Below are 22726 nucleotides of genomic sequence, written 5' to 3' on the forward strand. Positions count from 1 at the left end.
GAAGAACACACACCCTTTGTATAAGATAGTTCTCAGGGAGATGAAGGGACAAACTTTTGTGAACTTCAAAGTTCATTTAAAAGTAAACAATCTAATAGAACTTCCTGTCACTGGATTAGAAGGAAGTTAGGGACTTTAGACAAAAGACAAGGGACAAAAGAATTTAGGGGATTTCTTAAATTTGTAGTTTTCCCATGTTTGTTTGTTTTTTAATGTTCTTAATGTTCTTCTGCTTTCCCAAAATGATCATCAGTGATAAACATACATCAAAAAAGATATGTGCACAGCATCCTCCCCCTTATGCCTGGGACATATGATCCAAGAGGTTTTGAAGATGCCTGAAATCCCAGATAGTACTGAGCCCCCTATACGCTATGCTTTTTCCTATACTTAGATAACTATGTTAAAGTTTAGTTTACAAATTAGGTAAGTAAGAGGTTAACAATGATAACTAATAATAAAATAGAACAATTGTACCAATATACTACAATAAAAGTTATGTGAATAGGATCTCTCTCCCAAATATCTTACTGTACTCAACATTCTTGTGATGACGTGAGATGACAAATGCCTACGTGATGAGATGAAATGAGATGAATGATGTAGGCACTCTGATGTAGAGGTAGGCTACATTTGGATCATCTGCTTTTGGGTGATCTTGCATCATGGAGCCATGACATTGTCGATGGTTGGATGTCAGGAGCAGATAACGTCAATGACTAATGGGCAGGCGGCACGTACAGCGTGGATACTCTGTGCAAAGGGGTGGTTCACATAGCGGGCAGGACAGAGAGAGACATCCTGAGATTTCCCCATGCTCCTCAGAATGGCACACAATTTAACACTTGTTAATTATTTCTGGAGTTTTCCATTTAATAGTTTTGAATCGGCATTTACCACAGGTAACTCAAATTGCAAAGAACGAAATCATGGATGAGGGGTCAGGGGTGGGCTACAGTACTTTTCTCGGGGATCAGGTAGTGAAACTGTGCCCAGTGTTTAGACACTCTTGGGGGAAAAGTCCAAAGAATGTTGTAAAAAGAGGGACTCTCATCTGGTGAAAATTTGTTGATCCCATGCTGTTTGACTGATCCTACAACACAAATGAGGTGGGTATTTAATTCATTCAATGTGAATTGAATGTGCAGAAATGAAATTTTTTTATTTCCCTAAAACTGATGCTCATCATGTCCATTTGTATTTGGTGCTTATCAAAGTATAAATTTCAAAAAATTAAAAACACGATTCAAATATAAAATCAACAAATGTCAAAGACTGAATTAATAATCGAGGAAACTAGAGGGATAGTAAAGCTAATTGCAAAATGCACAGGACAAGCAGAAATATTACAGTACTTGGAAAAAATACTGAAATAAGATGATTACATTAAAATTTAAAACATTGGGTTTTACTCTTTTCTATCAGAACTTATTTATATCTCTACAGAGCAAAATTAATTTGAAATGTTATTGAACAAAAATTATTTGAATTTCTGTCAGCTTTCTACAAATCAACATTTCCTTTTTTAGAATTGTAATATACTTTAATTAATAGAAAACAGTAAGTTGAAAGAAAGCTATATACCCTTAGAGAATCAACCTGTTGTCTGTTTTCAACTTTGGGATTTTCCCTTTTAATGTGCTGATGTAATTAATTATATTTTCCCTCAAACTGGGAAGTACAGGGTAATTTCTTCTGATTTATAATTCCAATAAGGTGGTACATTGTAATATCAATTATTTTGACATTTATTTCATGCAAAATGTGAACCAGTATTGATTTAAAAAAATTTTAAGTGCATTCAGAAGTCTTAAAATAAAATGGTTAATGAAACTAAAGGCTTAATGAATTTTAAATACAAAGTGTATGAATATATTATAAAATATAATTTAAATCATGATTTATAAAAATATAAATGCCAAACACTATCATTTTATTATAAACCAACAAAAAATTTAGAAAAACAAAGTATTAAATCAAATACTCTAAAAGTGCTAAAAGTTTAATTAATCATAAGAAATAACATTATTCAATTTTAAATTACAAAAGAAAACAATATCTGTGAATGGTGATGTGGTTAAGTGACAAGGTTACTTTTGTGTAAATTGTTCCAGATGCTGAAAAACGCTTTTTGACTTTAGTCAGAATAGTGTGACCTCTAACTCCAATTTGAGTATTGTGGAGGTGTAAAAGAGATGCTTTCTAAATGAGGACACCATTGTTTCATGTAAGGTTTTGAAGTGGTGCAACTACTCTCCAGGAATGTCTCAAGATGTAATAATGTAAGATGTAAATAATACCAGTTCTACTGCCTACCCTTCAACTCTGGCTACTTTAAAGACTTTCTTCCTAATATAGTAGTTCCCCCTTATCCTGGAGGGATATATTCCAAGACTCCTAGTAGATGCCTAAAATTGTGAATAGGTAGGAACCTGATTGCTGTCAGTCAGAACACATTTCTGTTCATGTCTTCTGCACACACATTTCATGTCTTTTCCAACTTAACTAAACACTTATCACACACTGTGGTAACAACTTTCACAATTTGAAGTGAGACAGCAAAATGAGCACAAATTTCTTTTTTCTTCCCACTTTCATGGACAGAAGATTCATTTTTAATGTAGATCTTAGCAACTTCAGCATATATTTTTTGCCTTTTTTTTAAAGTCAAGAACTTTCACCTTTTCACTTAAAGGATGCACTTTATGGCTCCTCTTTGGCATATCCAATAGCCAGCATCACTACTCTTGTACTTTGGAGCCATTATTAAGTAAAATAAGGGTTACTGGAACACAAGCACTGTGATAGGTCTTCTGTATTTAAATAAGCCCTATGCCATTTCCATTATATGGTGCCCACCCTCATCTAGTATGGAATACTCTTTGAGGCTGCTTCCAATTAGAATTCCAGGCCCAGAGTGAAAAAAAGCTGTTTCTGCCCATAGTTCAGAGATATTTGGGCATTTTTGTCATGCAGCTTACTGTCCAACCCACCCTTCTCCCTACCTGAGTTGGAAGCAGGGCAGGGGCCTCTCTGTAAACTCACCTATGACTCACTTACCTGCTCTGCTTATTTTCAAGATTCTTTTCATACCAAAGAAGGTTTGTTATTTTTTTGTTTCCTTTTTTTGGGCTGGAAGACTGTTCTCATGTCATTTCCTGTATCATTTATATTTAAAGATTTTTAGTAAAATGATTTTCTCAGCCTTCCAGGTTTTGTTTCTTGATATTGAAAGGAAAAATTACAGAATTTTTAAAACAAAAAAAAAAAAAACAAAACAAACTCTGTATTTCTATCTCTTGCTTGCCTCTTGAAATTGAAAATAAATTTAAGAATTTTCTTGCTGAAACTAATTTGAGGGGTCTGTTTTTGAAAGCGAAAAGCCAAACTCTAAAAACTTTATATATTCTAACTATAATAATCTTATTCTTCCCGAAGTAATGAATATCTCTAATTGAATAGGGATAAGATTTTAAAAAGATACAAGGAAGTGCCAAAAAGAAAAGCATAGTAACGTATTCAAAAGTATTACCTCACTACACAAATAGAATACAAGATTTTCTACTGACACATAAAAAAAAAAAAGAACTAGGTAACCACAAAGAATTGTTTTAAAATAGCAGTATTGAGTTCTAAGCTACTTTTCTCTCTTTTCCTTGTCCATGGAACTGCTAGAACTCAGATGTTGAAGTCATTTTCTTCCTTGGCAGAGTTTCTGGTATGGATTCCTTATAGCTAGTGTGCATTTGCTGCTCCCCCTCACTCCACTGGTCTCTGGATTGCTGCCTGTCTACCATCTTCTATATCATACCTTGGAGTGTCATGTTGGGGTTTGCTGAGATCCCTCCATCTCTCGAAGTCCCAGGGTGTGCTTGGGCTCTTCTAGCAAATAATACTTCCCAGTAGTATTTTTGTGTGTGTGTGGTTTCTGTGTAGAGCAGTCTTTTTCATTTGCTCAGATTCTATTAATAATCCCATGTGTCATAAGCGTTTTGTATCCTTTTTAATTTTTTGAGAAATTAGAGTAATATTCCTCATAGGCAGAGTCAGAGGACAATTCATATGGCATTTGATTGAGTCACCTCAAAGTATCACCTTGTACTGCAAAATCAACCAGTTTCCTATGTGTCAATGGAAACATCTGGATGTTCCTTTCCTGGAGCTTTGTTTTATTTTGTTTTCTTTCTTTCTTTCTTTCTTTCTTTCTTTCTTTCTTTCTTTCTTTCTTTCTTTCTTTCTTTCTTTCTTCCTTTCTTTCCTTCTTTCTTTCCTTCTTTCTTTCTGTTTTTTTTGACATGTTCTCTAGTTCATTGCAATCTTGAACTCCTGGGTTCAAAGGATCATCCAGCCTCAGCCTCTGAAATAGCTGGGACTACAGGCGCACCACTGTGCTTGTCTAATTTTGTTTTGTTTTGTTTTTTAATAGAGATGGAGTCTCGCCATTTTGAGCAGGCTGATTTTGAACTCCTGGACTCAAGCGACCCTCCCTCCTTGGCTTCCCAAAGTGCTGGGATTATAGGTGTAAGCTACCAAACCTGGCTACTGGAGTTTTGTAGATATCTGGCATATTCTCTGAGAGGCATTGGTGTTGCCTTTATCCTCTTGTTTTTGGAGTTTTAGTTCTTGATTCCCTTTTTCCTCTGGAGTCCATTTACAACTTCTTCTTGGGGACCATCAGAATCTTTCTCAAATATACCCACTGACATTTTGTCCTGACATGTTAGAATTTTGGGTGAATATACAAATTAGGAATTTCTGGAATCCAACTCAAGCTGGTTAAATGACAGAGGGATTTATTGGCCCATAATTGGAAGCTGACATGTAAGTTGGCTCCAGGGTTGGCTTGAGTCAGCTACTCAACAGTTTCCTTTTATCTCCTCTCTGCCTCTGGCAGGGTCAGCTTCTTCTGAAGCTGGCTCTACTTTGTAGTCACAAAATAGTTGTGTCAACTCTCATAGCAATGTGGAGAAGCACATCTATGGAGGAAGAAGCTTACATTCATGGCAGAAGGTGAATGGGGAGCAGGCATGTCTTACACGGCAGCAGCAGGAGCAAGAGAGTGAGTCGGGAGGTGCTACACATTTTTAAAGGATCATATCTCAGGAAAACTCACTGTTCAGTGCAAGGACAGTATCATGGGGGATGGTGCTAAACCATTCATGAGAAATCTGCCCCCATGATCCAATCACTTCCCACCAGACCCCACCTCCAACATTGGAGATACAATTCAACATGAGATTTGGGTGGTGACACATATGCAAACCCTATCATATGACCTTTGTGTCAGGGACTAGCATATGTGCTAAAGATTCTACATACGTATTTCTGAAATGGTTCAGGGTGTCTGCCCAGCCTATTACTGCCTTTCTTTGAGAGTTTCCCTTACCAGAAGATGGACTTATTATAGCTTGTTTGTTTGATGAAGTTGATTGGATTAAGAATAGTTATTTGGTCCACATTAAGCCAATTATCTTCCCTAGGATTTTTTTTTCACTGTATTTTAAAAATACCGTCTCTAGAAATTTTGAGGTGGGATTCAAACTAGTCAGTTTCTGCTGGTGTGTGGGAGCAGAACAGATATATTCCAAAATAGAACACTAGAAGCTTGGGGTGGCCATTTTTTATATGTGCACAGAGAAACAGGATGGATTGTGAGCAGAGTTAAGGTAGTATTAGGGCCCAAAGAGGCAAAGACAAAGAAAAGCGTCCTTGGTTCCTGATGACTTTCACATTCATGGTTCAGCTGCACCTTGGGCCCATTATCTGTGCAATAGGTTTTTCAAATGAGGCACAAAGATAAAGAACAATATAATAGATTCCAAGGAATAATTATCTCTCCCTACCCAATGCCTCATAAGCTAAAGTGGGGTGCTAGACTGCCTGTGCATGATTTGCTAAGGGATAATCAAGATGGTTCTGTCAGCATGGTCATGTACCCCAGCTAGTATAACAGGGAAAACTTGGAGAACAGAGGTTTTTGTGTGAACTTTGAATGGTCTCCTCTGCCCCTCCTCATGGAAATAGCAGGATGCTTTATCTAAGCTCAAGCCAATGTGTAGGGCTTCATGGGGACTGTGAGGAGATTTTGATATCTGTATCCTGGAGATTAATGGACATAGTCAGTAGTGTTTAACTTAAGTCTGAAAAGTCTAAAGTCAAGGGATATAAAAGGAATCCACTGGGGCACTGGGAGTAGGCTGCACTTCCACTCAAATTGGCTCCTGGTTAAAAAAAAAAAAAAAGAAAGAGAGACCCTCTCCTCCCCTAACCCTGCAAAAGAGAGTTGACCTGGGGTTATCTTAAAACAGAAACTCTTAAATGACTACCTCAGTGGGTTGTATACATGAAAAAATGGTGTGTTACTGGGTGCTCAAAATGGAGCTATCCAGAAGAAGGCATTGCCAAGGTCAAAGAAACTACATTGCAGATCTTGAGTGAGAAGCTCTGAAGAAGCAACAAAAGTGTCCAACCAAGAAAGACTCAGCAATGCATCTGCTGTCCAGAGAGCATGAAAGCCACATTTTATCAGCTGCATAACCCAGCTCCTTCCTCTGGTCCCTCTTTCCTTAGTCTGACTTTGGAGAAGCCAGAGCCGTGGCTTACACAGTGTGGGAGGAGGCAGAGTTAGGAACTTCTTAAGAAACCAGCCACATCCCCACCCCACCTTCAGCCTCCATTCTGGGAATGAGGAAAGCTTGACACTGAATAAGAATTTAGATATTCTATTTCTTTACTGAACTGAACTCTAGCTTGGGTATTATTAGAGTAGCTGATATGTTTAATGCCAAAACATTACCTAAGAATGAATACACCAACTATGGACTTTATCTATAGTTTTATCTTTAATAGTGAGAAATAATACATCATTTTCTTTTCACATTTTATCACTGATGGAGGTATCACATAATCATATTAATGTATCTGCAGGATAGATGTTATCTTAGTAGGAATTATTTTCTTCCCTCTGTAATTAAGGAAACTGAAGCTCACAGAGTTTAAGTAAGTTTCCTAAGGTCCCACAACCAACAGTCAAAAGAACAAGGCTATGAAACATGAATGTTTCAGTCAAACAGTCATTCCCTTCCTGCACGCTGCACTGAACCTCAAGGACCAACAAAGAACTTGAGAATTCAAAGTGGGCAAGATTTTATCTAATTTGGGGAAACAAGGAGTGTTCATGCAAGGGGAATGGTTCATGAAATGGACTTTCAGGATGAATAGGTTTTTAGCAAACAGAGATGAGAGGAAAATAATTCTAGGACAGAAGTGACTAAACTAAGAAACTGAGGCTGGATAGGGTGTAGTCTACAAACTGTGGTAGTCTAATCTGGATACGTATAAGGTCGAGGAAGGGTTAGGGAAAGAGAAGTCTGGAAACACTGTGGGGCAATAGAATGGTAATTCTTTACTTTTTACCTTACTCCCTCTTCTGCAACTGCCTCTTATTCTTTGAGAAAAAAAGGAAGATATACTTTTCATATGATTTGGAAAGCAGAGATTATGTGCTAACATCTCACTTGGTATAGGGAAAAACTGCAAGAATTTTTTAGAGAGGTGGACCTAGTTTCAAATCCATTACTACTATAAGAATATACTATTTCTGAAACTCAATTTCCTTGTCTGTAGAGCAAAAAAATTACTCCATAGTACCACAGTGGAGGATAAATAAAATAAGATGAATATGATACACAATTATAAAATAACTGTGTGACCTTAAGCAAATTACAAATGTCATGTCTCTGTTCCTCAGTTTGCCCACCCCATTGTGTTGTCAATGACATGTTATATCACTGTTTGAAGGACTTTACAGCAAAAAAAGGTATTCTTATAAATGCTCAGTAGATGTCAAGCTTAATTTTGTATGTGTCCAAAATTAAACCTTTACATTTTAGTTACATAAAAAGGTCCTTTAAGTGAGGGTAAGAGAACATTTAAACTGAAAGTTATATATACTAGGCCTGAAATTTTTAATGGCCTTATTTAAAATGAATATAAAGGTACTTAAGGAAGGTAGCAGTTGTAGGCTTTCTTTTCTTAGGAAATCAATACTCATAAAACTCAAGGTTGGAAATGAGAATTAAAAACCACAGTGAGTTTATTTTAAAACATGTAGTCTGTCATCTTTATTTTCCCTTTGGATTACATAGTGTTTATACCCTGAGGTCTATTTATGTTGCTGCAACTCTTTCACTGACTTTGAAGTGAACTTTGTATGGTGCTAGAATCAGAGCACTAGGGCTTAGAGATCATGTATTCCAACCCTCTCATTTAAAAAGAGTAAATTAAGGTAAGAGAGTAAAGCGAATTTCCCTGATATCTTTGTTTCCTCTGAGATGTAAAAATCTCTGTTGTTCTTAACCACCAGGCTAAGTTCAGTGACAGCAAGAGTCATCCTAGTTCAGCCCCTAACATGGCCCCTGATCCTCCCCTTAACCTAGACAGTGCCTGGCACTTAGCAGACACTCCACTTATAGTTCTGGAAAAAAAGCACTTATCTCTGAGCAAAGTCTTTTACTCTCATTAGAAACTCTCTGGCATTCCTGGTATGGCTTAGGAGACTAATCACTGATAATAAATAAATAAATAAATAAATAAATAAATAAATAAATAATAAATTCCTGCTGTTCTTCTCCCAAATACATGCCTCATGGAGTTGCCTGCAGGAGAAAGAGTTCCACAGCAAATCAATACCTGCAATTTAAAGGATTCTACTCTTGCCAGGTGTGATGGCTCATGCTTGTAATCCCAGCACTTTGGGAGGCTGGGGTAGGAGGATTGCTTGGGGCCAGGAATTTGAAACCATCCTGGTCAATATAGCAAGACCCCGTCTTTACAAAAAAATTAAAAATTTAGCTAGGCGTGGTGTTGCCCACCTGTAGTCCCAGCTACTCAGGTGGCTGAGGCATGAGGATTGCTTGAGGGATTGCTTGAGCCTGGGAGGTCAAGGCGGAAGTGAGCTGTGATCGCACCACTGTACTCCAGGCTGGGTGACAGGGTGAGAGGCTCTCTCAAAAACAAACAAACACACAAAAACGAGGATTCTATTCTTGTAACTTCAAACCAATAAAAATAAGGATTCTACTCTTATAACTTCTCACCAGCAGATTCATTTAAAACCATTATTTCTTCTGTCCAGAGCATCCTAATACATGCAACTGCTCTCATCCAACTGGCAAGCACACAGATTTACTAGCAAAGTTTAGTACCTGTTGGTCAGAAGACTGCCTATTTCTTCTGGGTATCTCTTCAATGTTCCAGGAAACAAATTTCATTTATTCTTATAAGTCTGACTGTCCCAGACAAAGTTACTGTATGTACAAAAATCTGTGTATTTCTTTTGGTGTGATTCAGATGCAAGCAGAAATGAATTTTATTCATATTGTTATCTTTAAGACTGTGTGGGTTGGAGAAGGATTCATAGACAACAAAACAGGAAAAGATTAAGTCAAACAAAACAACTTAGTGGTTTTGTAATTTTGGAGGCTTTTGTCTGAAGGGAGATAGCTAAAGCTTGACAAAGGCTTCCTATGTGTGAGTAGAAGAGACAGCTCTTTTCCCTCTTCATTGGGGCAAGCACCATAGTAATTAGATTTAAAGGACACCAATAGACTTTTTTATTAGAACCAGATAACTTTCTGGTGTTTCTCAAATGAGAGAAAGGCACCTCCATGGAATGTCTTTCATCCGTTTTCAAATTCTACCAAGCCCAGTTCTTCTGCAAACTTCACCTAATGTATGTGTGATCTACAGCTGTGGTTTACAAACTGAATTCAGGTGGCCAGGCAGGGACCCCTCCCCCCGCGCCCCACTACCCGCTAACCGCCTCCCGCCACACACACACACACACACACACACACACACACCCCGCGCGCGCGCACACACACACACCCCACCCCACCACCCCGACCTCCACATACATTCCCCCGACCCCCTCCAGCAGTGAAGTCTAAGAGCACCGCGAAGTAATTTAAATTTTCGAGGGAAAGCACAGCGCCATCTGTCGGACATCATGCCAATTACTCTTGTTAAGTTCCTACCTGACGGTTACTTTATACTTTGAACTGCTAGGTACTCCTTTTGGCCTAAGGACACAGTGAAAAATGTACCGAGACCTTGGAGAGCCACGAACCAAGAAACTTCAGAAACCTCTGATATCTGATCAAGAGTTAAGAGACGTCAGAATCATCACAACTGACAAAAGGTTAGGAAAAAATTCTAAACATTTCTATTTCCTACAGACTTCCCCATTATATTTTTGGCTGCCTAAACAGAAACAGACTTCCATGATCAGGAGCTGGGCTCTGGCAGTTAACATTTTATTGCCATTTTACTGGTTATGAACTCTTTCTATGATATCTTCGTATCTATATGAATAGATAGGTGATATGTATCAGTATGTATGTGTTTAAAGAGAGATTTTTTTTCCCTAGGCATGTCTCCATACATAAATATTTTTAAAAGTTAAAAACATGGGTTCCATGTTTCGAAATGGCTAGGACAGGAGCTGTGGAGTTCTCAAATCCTAATTGAGGGCTGTCTCAGGGAAAGGTGCTGATACAAAAATCAGTCTCATCCTAGGTGACCTCTGTCAGCTTTATAAGCTCTTTGATGACTTATTATTCCATTTATAAAACAAAGAGAATAATACAGATGTTATTGAGGTTCGTGTTTATAAAATATTCTAAGATGGCCAGATGAAAAGTGTGACTCACAGGAAATGCCAAATCTGAAATAAATCATCCTTCTGAGTCACAACAAATACCTTTCAATGTGATGGAAACTTGATATTTGAAAACTCCCTTGATTAGATTCCTGTTTTCATCAGCTGTACTTTTCCTATGAAATTTGTTTACATATTTCTTTCCTCTTTACCATGCTTTCAAATTGGTTGACATTTATAACTTGAAAGAGGACCATTGAAAAATTACTTAAGGGAGACCAGCACAAATACAATTTTTTTTTCCACCAGGGAAAGGCCATGTGCGTGTGTTTAAATGTAATTATCGTTTCCCTTTTGATTTTTGTCAATCAAGGAAATAGTGTTACTAAAATGTCTGATTGTTTTATCTCATCACTACCAACAAAAACTGTTCCATTACAGTCTGTGAGGCTTTCTATTTTAGAGTGTTTTCTAGGCAATATGTGGTAATTCAAAGAGATCAAAGTAAATGTCTCCACCTCAATTCATACAAGCCTTGATAATAATATATTTTCAAAACTTGTCCATTCTAAAGTAACATTTGTCTACTAAGCCCTTTTTTGGGGGAAATTTAAATTAGTGGGAGGAGCTTATACACTATCTTTTTCATAAATAACACTTTTCTTGATTATTAAGAAGTAAATAAAATGATCTTCAATTCTAGCACACAGAGATAAGCGCCATTGAAATGTTGGTGTGCTTTGGTCTAGTCTTTTGTCTATGCATGTTTTAATATTATATACTTTTTAAATTTTATTAATCTCATTTTGTGTTACAGTTTCTTTTTTATTAAGTTGTGCAGGTTTGTTACATAGGTACACATGTGCCATGGTGGTTTGCTGCACCCATCAACCCATCATCTATGTTAGGTATTTCTCCTAATGCTATCCCTCCCCTATCTCCTCCCCACCTCCCCGCCGCCACCCCTGCCCACAGGCCTGGCGTGTGAGGTTCCCCTCCCTGTGCCCATATGTTCTCACTTTTCAACTCCCACTTATGAGTGAGAACATGTGGTGTTTGGTTTTCTGTTCTTGTGTTAGTTTGCTGAGAATGATGGTTTCCAGCTTCATCCATGTCCTTGCAAAGGACATGAACTCATTCTTTCTTATGGCTGCATAGTATTCCATGGTGTATATGTGCCACATTTTCTTTATCCAGTCTATCATTGATGGGCATTTGGGTTGGTTCCAAGTCTTTGCTATTGTGAACAGTGCTGCAATAAACATACGTGTGCATGTGTCTTTATAGTAGAATGATTTATAATCCTTGGGGTATATACCCAGTAATGGGATTGCTGGGTCAAGTATTTCTAGTTCTAGATCCTTGAGGAATCGCCACACTGTCTGCCACAATGGTTGAACTAATTTACACTCCCACCAACAGTGTAAAAGTATTTCTATTTCTCCACATCCTCTCCAGCATCTGTTATTTCCTGACTTTTTAATGATCGCCATTCTAACTGGTGTGAGATGGTATCTCCTTGTGGTTTTGATTTGCATTTCTCTGATGACCAGTGATCATGAGCATTTTTTCATGTTTTTTTGGCCACATAAATGTCTTCTTTTGAAAAGTATCTGTTCATATCCTTCATGTTACAGTTTCTTTTGGTAATTTTGATTACCATTCACTCCAATTAAGTCAGTCATGTAATATTTAACATATTTTTGCATGTGTTTAAAAAATGGCAATTTCAGATTATTTTAGATACTGTAAGTAAATTGAAATTGTGAAGTATAGATTTAAATGTATTATTTTTGAAATTTCCATCTGAAATGTTACATAATTTTGTTTGTTGAGTCACTCTGTAATTAATTCTAAAGCTCAAACCATGAGCTGTTCACACTGTTAAACCTTAAAATTGATTTGGGACCAGAAAAATTTCATCAGCTGTTTTAATTTAAATAAGTATGCATGTGCTTTGCCACTGGATAATTGTGCTAACTCAGGCCAGGTGCAGTGGTTCACGCCTGTAATCTCACCACTTTGGGAGGCTGAGGTGGGCGGATTATCTGAGGTCAGGAGTTCGAGAACAGCCTGGCCAAAATGATGAAGCTCTGTCTCTACCAAAAATACAAAAATTAGCCAGGCATGGTAGTGCACCCCTGTAATCCCAGCTATTCAGGAGGCTGAGGCAGAATTGCTTGAACCCGGGAGGTGGAGGTTGTGGTAAGCCGAGGTAGCGCCACTGCACTTCAACCTGGGCGACAGAGTGAGACTCTGTCTTAAAAAGAGAAGAAAAAAATTGTGCTAACTCTTATCAAGCAAGCCCTTGAAATTCCACTCAATTCATGAAGCCATCTCAGTTTCTTCTGGGACAGGTAGTAATTTACCCATTCTCAACCATTTAGAAATATTATTAAGTCCCTTTAACTTACTGAATCATAACAGACATTCATTCCATTGTTTATACGTAAAATTACTAAATATTAGTTATTGGGTAGTCCTAGATAAAATTTATGAAGTTAGGGTGTCTTCTTCTCAAAACTGTTTCTGTTTTGAGTATTCTTTATTTTCTTCTTATACCCAAATAATCAAAATCTGATAATTCCCATTGCATACCTTAGGAATCTGTCTCCCATGCCCCACTCAGCTCCCCTTTCCTTGCAAGGCTTGTACTTTGGACTTTTCTGAACACCACGCCTTACCCCATACTCATCAGCCAATGTTGATTCTTCTGGTGGCTGAGGGTCTTGTTGGATGACTGCATTGCTAATCTTGCCATTGCATTTCGCTAAAGTGCAAATAATTGATAAATGATTCATGAGTCATGCCTCCCAGAGTGTGTACTCATTTAATTAATGGAAGGCTTCGAAGGCTTAATTCCTAAGAGGGACTGAGTAATAATGAAAGTAGATTGAAGTATTTTGAAGGGTAGTGAGGGAAAGAAAGCTACACCCGTGTGATAACTGGGTTTCCAATATAGCTGTTTTCAGTCTGATTCTCAGAGGCTGACTTTGATATAAGAACATTTGAGCAGGAGATATGCTAAGGAAGCGCTCCCAAGAAAAATCAGCAGGGGGGCTTAATGGAAGCAGAACAGGGAAGTGGAAGTAGCTAAGCAAGGACTAATTTCAGGTCAACTCCCTTTCTCAGCCCGATCCTGCAGGGAGTTGTGCAAAGGAAATTACATTACTGATTTTGTCCTGGCTTGAGGAAAGGGAGTCATTTTCCATAGCTTGCCCTGTGGTGGCCATAAACTCCCTGGCACTTCCTGCTATAAGTATGGCCAAAAAGGCTGCAGTAAACCAAGGACAGTCCCCTTGGTTTTGAGACTGTGAGCTGTTAGAAGTACAAATACAAAAGCTGGGGATGGGCATAGGAATCATAAGGAGGCTCCATAGGGATGTGGATGAAGCACCATCTGTATATACTGCAATGGCATGAACTTAAGAGGGAACAGAGTGGATGAACAATATCCATGCAGCCATGAGTTGGGCAGTGGGTCCTTCTTCCTGAAGGTAATTACAGCACCAGATCAAGATATAGAATAGAAGTCTTTCTTGTACTCACTTCCCATCAATAGACCCCTTGAAAAGGTAATCAGTACTCTGATTACACTTAGTTTTGCTTGCTTTGTAGCCTTATGTAAATAAATCATACACTATGTACTCTTCTTTGTCTGTCTTTTATATCTGACTTATTGAGATGCATCCACATTGTAGCATCTAGAGGGTGGTCATTCTTTTTCATTGCTGTGGAGTATTCAATTATATAACTGTTTCACTATTTATTCTACTGCTGATGGGTGTTTGGGCTATTTCCAATTTGGGGCTATTATGAGTAATGCTGTTATAAATTTCTTTTAAGTGTATTTTGAGGCACAAATGTTTGCATTTCTGCAAGAAATGTGTAAATACCTGAGAGTAGAGTTGACTGCATAGACTACACATATGTTAAGCGTTAGTATAATAGATATTACCATATAGTTTCCCAAAGTGATTATAGCATTTTAACTCCCACTAGCAGTATATGTGAATTTCAGTTACTCTACATTCTCTACAATACTTGGGAGCCTCAGTCTGTAAATTTTAGTCATTCTAAATGCATAGCTTGTTTTTTAAACTGTCAGTAAATTGAAAACCTACGATTAAGAATTTTGTAGAAATTTCCCTTGATATTAGCAACCTCATTTTGAGAATGCCAATATTAGTAAATAACTACTCTCCCCACACATATGCTAAGTGCTAAATATTATTATTTATTTACTCAACTGATAAACTTGTTTTTTATTTTTAAGCATTTGGATCTGAATCAACAAGATGTCTCTCATATTGTGTATTGTGAGTAATTAATGGTTATGTCTATTTAAATTTGCTTTATACAGAGCAAAGTTTCATGCTACATAACCCATCAACTAGTTAATACATATCTTTAAAAAACATTTTAGGTTGGCTAGTCTTTAGCCTAGAACTTTCTAGCTCCAATTTAAAATTAAGACATTCCAGCAAAATATGTGGGAATATTTTGACATCTGTATGTATGTATATAGTAGGAAATGAGTCATTTTAGTGTCAGCTGAAAAAAAAGCCACATTTTAGGTGTATGAGACTATTTTTAAAAGTTGTAATTTTCTGTAGACTGAAACCTGATAGCAGGTGAGAGAGAGGTAGCTGTCTGTCCATGCATGGACTGTAATTGGAGAAAGCTTTGAGCAGTATGCCTGTCCTCCAGTATCACTGTCACTATACATCATTTTACTAGTATGACTTTAGCTTTTTAAGTGTTTTAGGACTCTGCAGTATCCAGTTAATAATGTTTTTAACTTAGGTAGTAGCCATGCTGCAAAATAAGAAGCCATTGTAGGAGGCTCCAATGATCTAAAAAAAATTAGGCTTTTATTAGATGGCAAATTTGTTCAACCATGTGATTCTTGTGTTAATTTTTCTCCTTATAACTAAAAGAGTCTTACAAAATAAAAGGTAAATATTGCCTCAAAAATTGTGGATACCTGTATAAAGCATCTGCCCTCGATCCTTATCAGCTAACACCTGCTTTATAAATTAATACCTTATCAGAGATTTGTAGAGTTAGCTACAGAGTAAGTCATTAAGACGTGGTGGTTGAAAGAAAGAAAACCAAAAATTATAGTGGAGAACTGTCTAGAGGGAAAGAAGATCTGCTTATAAATTACAGAAAACAACAACAATTTTAAAAATAATAAGTTTTTCACAATTTTTCCAAAGCCTGCCTCTGCTCATTTTAGGATGAGCACAAACCATATGGCTTCTATCTGGAGGCACTGTGAGATCAGTGGTCTGGTAATGTCTGTTGATTTCCAGTATCAAATTCATAGAAGCATACAGTAAGTAAAAGAGAAAGAGTCTTGGCAATTTTGTAGTTTTTGTTCTTTCATCCAAACAGGAAAACTGGAGCTCTGCAAAGAGTGAAGAACAACCTCAATGTCACATGAAACGTTTTCCATCCTCCATTTCCACCTATTTCTCCAAACACCTCTCTCTCCCCCTCTCTTCAACAGTTTCTATTAGTGTTTTCCGTTAACACAAAACTCAGAATTCTCTCTGCCATGGGCCCTTGTGTTTTTTGATGTTTGTGTCCTTTTTATGCAGTCTCTCCACTTACAGGCAACTGTGTCAGGCAGTGGGGACAGCTGAAATGTTGATGCTGCCATCTGGGAATCACTTTCTTGTGGGGGTCACTCATGTAAACAAAGAACACTTGCTCTAAAGTACAACGTAATCAAATCATGAAAATTATGAAACAAAACAAGCTCTAGCTCCCCTTCTGTGCCCGTATGAATTACAGAAATTCCATTGAAATGCGTTGAAATGATAGCAAACATTTTAGTAGACAATTCCATAATATACCCTGATTTTAAAAGATGGACTCAGACCAGAAATTTTGAGTGATTCTTGGAAGGTAAAGGGCAGATAAAATCACTTTGCTGGAGAAATCAGAAGAGGGACAACTGCAAAATAAAGGCTGTAACAGGAGCGTGTGTCACATCATCATAGCAGTTTTCTTGTCTTCCTTCCCTCCCTTCCTTCCTTCCTTTCACCTCTGAACTTTTTATTGACCTCCTGCTCCCCAAAGGGTACCCTGCTTCTGCTGGCTTGATGTCTTAGAACTTTGGTGTCATTGGTCTCAGACACCACTTTGCGGCGGGTGGTGGTCTTTGGATGGTTTGCATGGAGTTGCTGTTGTCCAGGGCATCACCAAGATTGAAGTCATCATCATCAAGCAGGCGGTGGTAGGTGGCGCTCTCAGCCTCCAGCTTGACCTTGATGTTCAGCAGAGCCTCGTACTCCCCGATCTGGTGCTGTCCCTCTGCCCGGCTCTGTGCCATCTCTGACTCCAGGTGCAGCAGGATCCTGTTGAGCTGCTCCATCTGCAGGGTGTAGCGGGCCTCCACCTCCCTCAGGCTGTTCTCCAAGCTGGCCTTCAGATTTCTCATGGAGTCCAGGTCCATCTTTAAGGACTGGACTGTACGTCTCAGCTCCGTGAGCGTCATCTCAGCATCTCCAACCTTGGTGGACTGCGTAGTGACCACTGTGGTGCTCTTCTCAATCTGCTGAGACCAGCACTTGTCCAGCTCCTCTCAGTTCTTTCGAGTCAGCTCATCATATTGGGCCCGGATATCTGCTATGATCTTGGCAAGGTCCTGAGATTTGGGGGCATCTACCTCCACGGTCAACTCAGAGCTGGCAATCTGGGCTTGTAGGCCTTTTACTTCCTCTTCGTGGTTCTTCTTCATGAAGAGCAGCTCCTCCTTGAGAGCCTCCATCTCTGTCTCCAGTGGCAGCCAAGTGACATTGGTCATCAGTGACCTTGTGGAGCCCATGGATGTCACTCCCCACAGACGGGTGCATGGCCAGCTCTGTCTCATACTTGACTCTAAAGTCATCGGCTGCAAGACAGGCATTGTCAATCTGCAAAACGATGCCGGCATTGTCCACAGTATTTGCGAAGATCTGAACCCTCAGGTCCTCGATGGTCTTGAGGTAATGACTCCAGTCTCTGACCTGGAGTCCCTTCTTCTCCAGGTGCTCCCGGATTTTGCTCTCCAGCTTCCGGTTCTTGGTCTCCAGGCTCCTCACTCTGTCCAGGTAGGAGGCCAGACGGTCATTCAGGCTTTGCATTGTCTCCTTCTTATTCTGGATGCCTCCCATTCCTGCCAGACCCCCGGCCATCCCCGCGGCCAGGTCCCCGGACCCCATGCCACCCCGGAAGCTGGTGGAGCGGGACACGGATATCCGGGAACCAGAGCCCCCGGCGCCTGCATAGACGCTGGCCATGCAGCTGGCCGGCCGGGCGCCGTAGTTGGACACCTGGACAGAGCCCAGGAACAGGTAGTTGGTGGAGAAGATGGAGCGAGTGGTGAAGCTCATGCTATCCAGGGAGGAGAGTGAGAGGACAGGACTCAGGCTTTGCCGACCCGTCATAGCAGTTTTCTAAGGAACCTGCAGAGAAACATCAAGCTCAGATCGAACAAAGCAAAGAGCGGGAGGGGCCCTTGGGCCAAGTATCAGGGCAATAAATTAAAGACTTTATTTGAATAATCTGGGTCCCACCCTCTAGCCTCAATAAGCAGCTGTTGACCCCAGCAGTGTTTACTCCAGAATGAAGCCTAGAGGGGTGTTTGTTTGATATACAGTGAGTTTTCCTAGGAGAGTCCCTTTTGTATGAGACTGTGGCTGGAGATAAAGGAAAGCGGAGCCTGAGCTAACCAGGGACCTTCACATCCACATGAAGACAGGGGAAGGAAGGAGAATCACTGATTCCCTTTGTCTGCAGGACACATTTGAGAGGGGGGATCTCTGAAGTAGGAGTTCAGACACAGGATACTCCCAGGGTGGGTAGTATACAAGGTAATATACAACACAGAGCAGGGCTGCCGATCCCCAAGACTCTAAATAAAAGTTATTTGTAAACCCTGGAGGTTTATCAGTCTGGCCTCCTCTCAAACATTCAAGGCAAGTTTCTATGTTCAGAGCTTATATTCAGTGACAATAAAAGAGGGTCTCATTTGATCTGATGAAATACAATACAAACATTATCTAACAATTCCGTTTGATAAAGATCATTATAAATAGCAACCCCCAAACCATAAACTTGCTAAATAAATTTAGGATAAAAGCAAGTCATTAAAAATATTTAAAAGATCCAAAATGTTTCTGAGTAGCATGAATAGAAAAAACACTATCCACATTTAAACATACCCTAATATAATTTCAGAATACCAAGGATAAATATGAAATTCGAAAAGTTGGCCAGGCGCAATGGCTTACGCCTGTAATCCCAGCACTTTGGGGGGCCGAAGCGGGTGGACCACGAGGTCAGGAGTTCAAGACCAGCCTGGCCAACATGGTGAAACCCCCTCTCTCCTAAAAATATAAAAATTATCTGGGCATGGTGGTGCGTTCCTGTAATCCCAGCTACTCAGGAGGCTGCAGCAGGAGAATTGCTTCAACTGGGACCCGGGAGGCAGAGGTTGCAGTGAGCCAAGATTGGGCCACTGCACTCCAGTCTGGGCTACAGAGAGAAACTCTGTCTCAAAAAACAAACCAACAAACAAAAATCCAAAAGTTTTTCAAGAGAAAAAAACCCAGATTGCTAATGATAGAGTTCCCATGTTGAAAGTGAAGGAATAATATTGAAGTTGTGAAAGACAAAAATATTAACCTAGAGTTCTTTTTTGCTTGTTTTTTTTTTAATTTTAATTTTAAAAAAAATTTCATGAGTACACAGTAGGCTTATGTATTTATGAGGTACGTAAGATATTTTGATACAGGCATACAATGCATAATAATTAACTAGGAGTAAATGGGGTATCCATCACCTCAAACATTTATCCTTTCTTTGTGATAGAAACAATTCAATTATAACTTTTAGTTATTTTAAATGTATAATGAATTATTGTTGACTGTATTCACCCTGTTGTGCTATCAAATACCAGATCTTATTTATTCTATATAAATATATTTTTGTACGCATTAACCAGCCCTACTCCCTCACTCCACAAGTACACGTCCCAGCCTCTTGTAACCATCATTCTGCTCTCTGTTGCCATGAGTTCAATTGTTTTAATTTTTAGCTCCCACAAAAAATGGAGAACATACAAAGTTTGTCTTCCTGTGCTTGGCTTATTTCACTTAATTAACATAATGACTTCCAGTTCCATCCATGCTGTTGCAAATGACAAGATTTCATTCTTTTTCATTGCTGAATAGTGCTCCAAAGAAAATATGTACCACAGTTTCTTTATCCATTGGTTTGTTGATGGACACTTAGGTTGCTTCTAAATCTTGACTATTATGAATAGTGCTACAATAAACATGAGGGAGCATATATCTGTTCAATTTACTGATTTCCTTTCTTTTGGGTATACACTAAGCAGTGGAATTACTGGATCATATGGTAGCTCTATTTTTTAGTTTTTTAAGGAACCTCCATACTATTCTCCATAGTGGCTATACTAATTTACATTCCCACCAATGGGGTACAGAGTTTCCTGTTTTGCTACATCTTCAATAGGATTTGTTATTATCTGTCTTTTGGAAAAAAAGCCGTTTTAACTTGGGTGAGATGACATCTCACTGTAGTTTATTTTATTTATTTATTTATTTATTTATTGAAACAGAGTCTCACCCTGTTACCCAGGCTGAAGTGCAGTGGTGCAATCTCAGCTCACTACAACATCCGCCTCCCGGGTTCAAGAGATTCTCCTGCCACAGGCTCCAGAGTAGCTGGGATTACAGCAGCCTGCCACCATGCCTGGCAAATTTTTGTATTTTTAGTAGAGACAGGGCTTCACCATGTTGGTCAGGCTGGTCTCAAACTCCTGACCTCAGGTCATCCACCCACTTTGGCCTCCCAAAATGCTGGGATTACAGGCGTGAGCCATCGCACTCGGCCCAACATCTCATTGTAGTTTAGTATGCATATCTCTGATGATCAATGATGTTGAGTGCCTTTTCATATACCTGTTTGCCATTTATATATCTTCTTTTGATAAATCTGTATTCAGATCTTTTCTCCATTTTTAAATTGGATTATTAGATTTTTTTCCTATAGAGTTGTTTGAGCTCCTTATATTTTTGTTATTAATCCCTTGTCATAAGAATAGTTTGCAAACATTTTCTGCCATTTTATGGAGTGTCTTTTTACTTTGTTGATTGTTTCCTCTGCTATGCAGAATCTTTTTAACTTGATGTGATCCTATTTATCCATTTTTGCTTTAGTTGCCTGTGCTTGTCAGATATTACTCAAGAAATCTTTGCCCACTCCAATGTCCTGAAGGATTTCATCAATGTTTTCTTTTAATGGTTTCATAGTTTGGGGTTCTTGATTTAAGTCTTTAATCCATTTTGATTTGATTTTTGTACATGGCAAGAGATAGGGGTCAAGTTTCATTCTTCTGCATATAAATATTCAGTTTTCCTGGCACCATTTATTGAAGAAACTGTCTTTTCCTCAATGTATGTTCTTGACATCTTTGTTGAAAATGAGTTCACTGTAGCTGTGTATATTTGTTTCCGGGTTCTCAGTTTGGTTCCATTGGTCTGTGTCTGTTTTTATGCCAGTAACCAAAACCATGCTGTTTTGGTTACTACAGCTTTAAAGTATAATTTGAAGTCAGGTAATGTGATCCCTTCAGTTTTGTTCTTTTTGCTCGGGATAGCTTTGGCTATTCTGGATCTTTGGTGGTTCCATATAAATTTTGGGATAGTTTTTTCTATTTCCATGAAGAATGTCATTGGTATTTGGATGGGGCTTGCACTGAATCTGTAGATTGCTTTAGGGAGTATGGACATTTTAACAATATTAACTCTTCCAATCCATGAAGATGAAATATTTTTGCACTCTTTCATTTCCTCTTTATTTTATTTCATTAGTGTTTTATAGTTTTCATTGTAAATATTTCACTTCTTTGGTTAAGTTTATTCCCAGGTATTTTATTTTATTTTGCTTGTAGCAATTGTAAAGGTAATTATTTTTTGATTTCCTTTTCAGATTGTTCACTGTTGGCATATAGAAGCACTACTAATTTTTATATGTTAATTTTGTATGCTGCAGCTTTTCTGAATTTGTTTATGAGTTCTAATAGGTTTTTGGTGGAGGCTTTAGGTTTTTACAAATATAAGATTATGTCATCTGCTGAGAAGGATGATTTGACTTCTTCCTTTCCAATTTGGAGGCACTTTATTTCTTTTTCTTATCTGATTTTTCCCTTGTACTTCCAGTACCATGTTGAATAACAGTGGTGAAAGTGGACATCATGGTCATGTTCCAAATCTTAGAGGAAAGCCTTTCAGTTTTTCCCCATTCAGTATGATACTAGCTGTGGGTATGTCATATATGGCTTTTATTGCATTGAGGTATGTGTCTTCTATACCCAGTTTTTTTAGTATTTTTTTTCATCATAAAAGGATATTGAATTTTATCAAATGCATTTTCAGCATCAGTTGCAATGATCATATGGCTTTTGTCCTTCATTCTGCTAATATGATGTATCACATTCATTGATTTCTGTATGTTGGACCATCCTTGTATTCCTGTGAAAAATCTCTGTTGTTCACGATGAATGATCTTTTTAATGTGTTACTGAATTCAGTTTGCTAGTATTTTGTTAAGGGTTTTTGCATCGATATTCAGAGATATTGACCTGTGATTTTCTTTATTTGATGTGTCTGTCTAGTTTTGATTTCAGGGTAATAATACTTGCCTCATAGAATGAGTTTGGAAGTATTTCTTTCTCTTCTATTTTTCAGAATAGTTTGAGTAGGATTGGTATTAGTCCTTCTTTAATTGTTTGGTAATATTTAGCAGTGAAGCCATGGGGGGTGCTTGGCTTTTCCTTACTGGGAGACTTTTTATTATAGCATTGATCTTGTTGCTTATTATTGGTCTTTTCAGGTTTTAAACTTCTTCAGTCTTGGTAGGTTGTAGGTGTCTAGGAATTCATCCATTTTTTCTAGGTTTTCCAATTTATTGGCATATGGTTGCTCATAGTGGTCTCTAATCATCCTTTGAATTTCTGTGTTATTTGTTGTAATGTCTTCTTTTTTG

The 22726-nt window shown here is 38.4% G+C and overlaps 1 protein-coding gene and 1 pseudogene across 1 annotated transcript in view, besides 1 other annotated feature; one reads left to right on the plus strand and one right to left on the minus strand.

Annotated features, from left to right (window-relative positions):
- PPP1R1C (protein phosphatase 1 regulatory inhibitor subunit 1C) overlaps nt 10047–22726 on the plus strand; it is a 176906-nt gene continuing 164226 nt past the window's right edge. The window contains exon 1 of the transcript NR_048567.2: nt 10047–10201. The gene's annotated coding sequence lies outside the window, so the exon portion shown is untranslated. The remainder of the gene's footprint in view (nt 10202–22726) is intronic.
- Nucleotides 10179–11378: an enhancer, noted in NCBI's record as "MED14-independent group 3 enhancer chr2:182819339-182820538 (GRCh37/hg19 assembly coordinates)". NCBI's record gives its function as "activates an origin of replication core promoter dependent on BRD2, BRD4, P300/CBP and CDK7 cofactors, and independent of MED14, by STARR-seq in HCT116 cells {active_cell/tissue: HCT116}" and the evidence as "EXISTENCE:reporter gene assay evidence [ECO:0000049][PMID:35650434]".
- KRT18P29 (keratin 18 pseudogene 29) lies at nt 16707–18092 on the minus strand (annotated as a pseudogene).

Source organism: Homo sapiens, chromosome 2 (assembly GCF_000001405.40).
Source record: "Homo sapiens chromosome 2, GRCh38.p14 Primary Assembly".
Taxonomy (NCBI): Eukaryota; Metazoa; Chordata; class Mammalia; order Primates; family Hominidae; genus Homo; species Homo sapiens.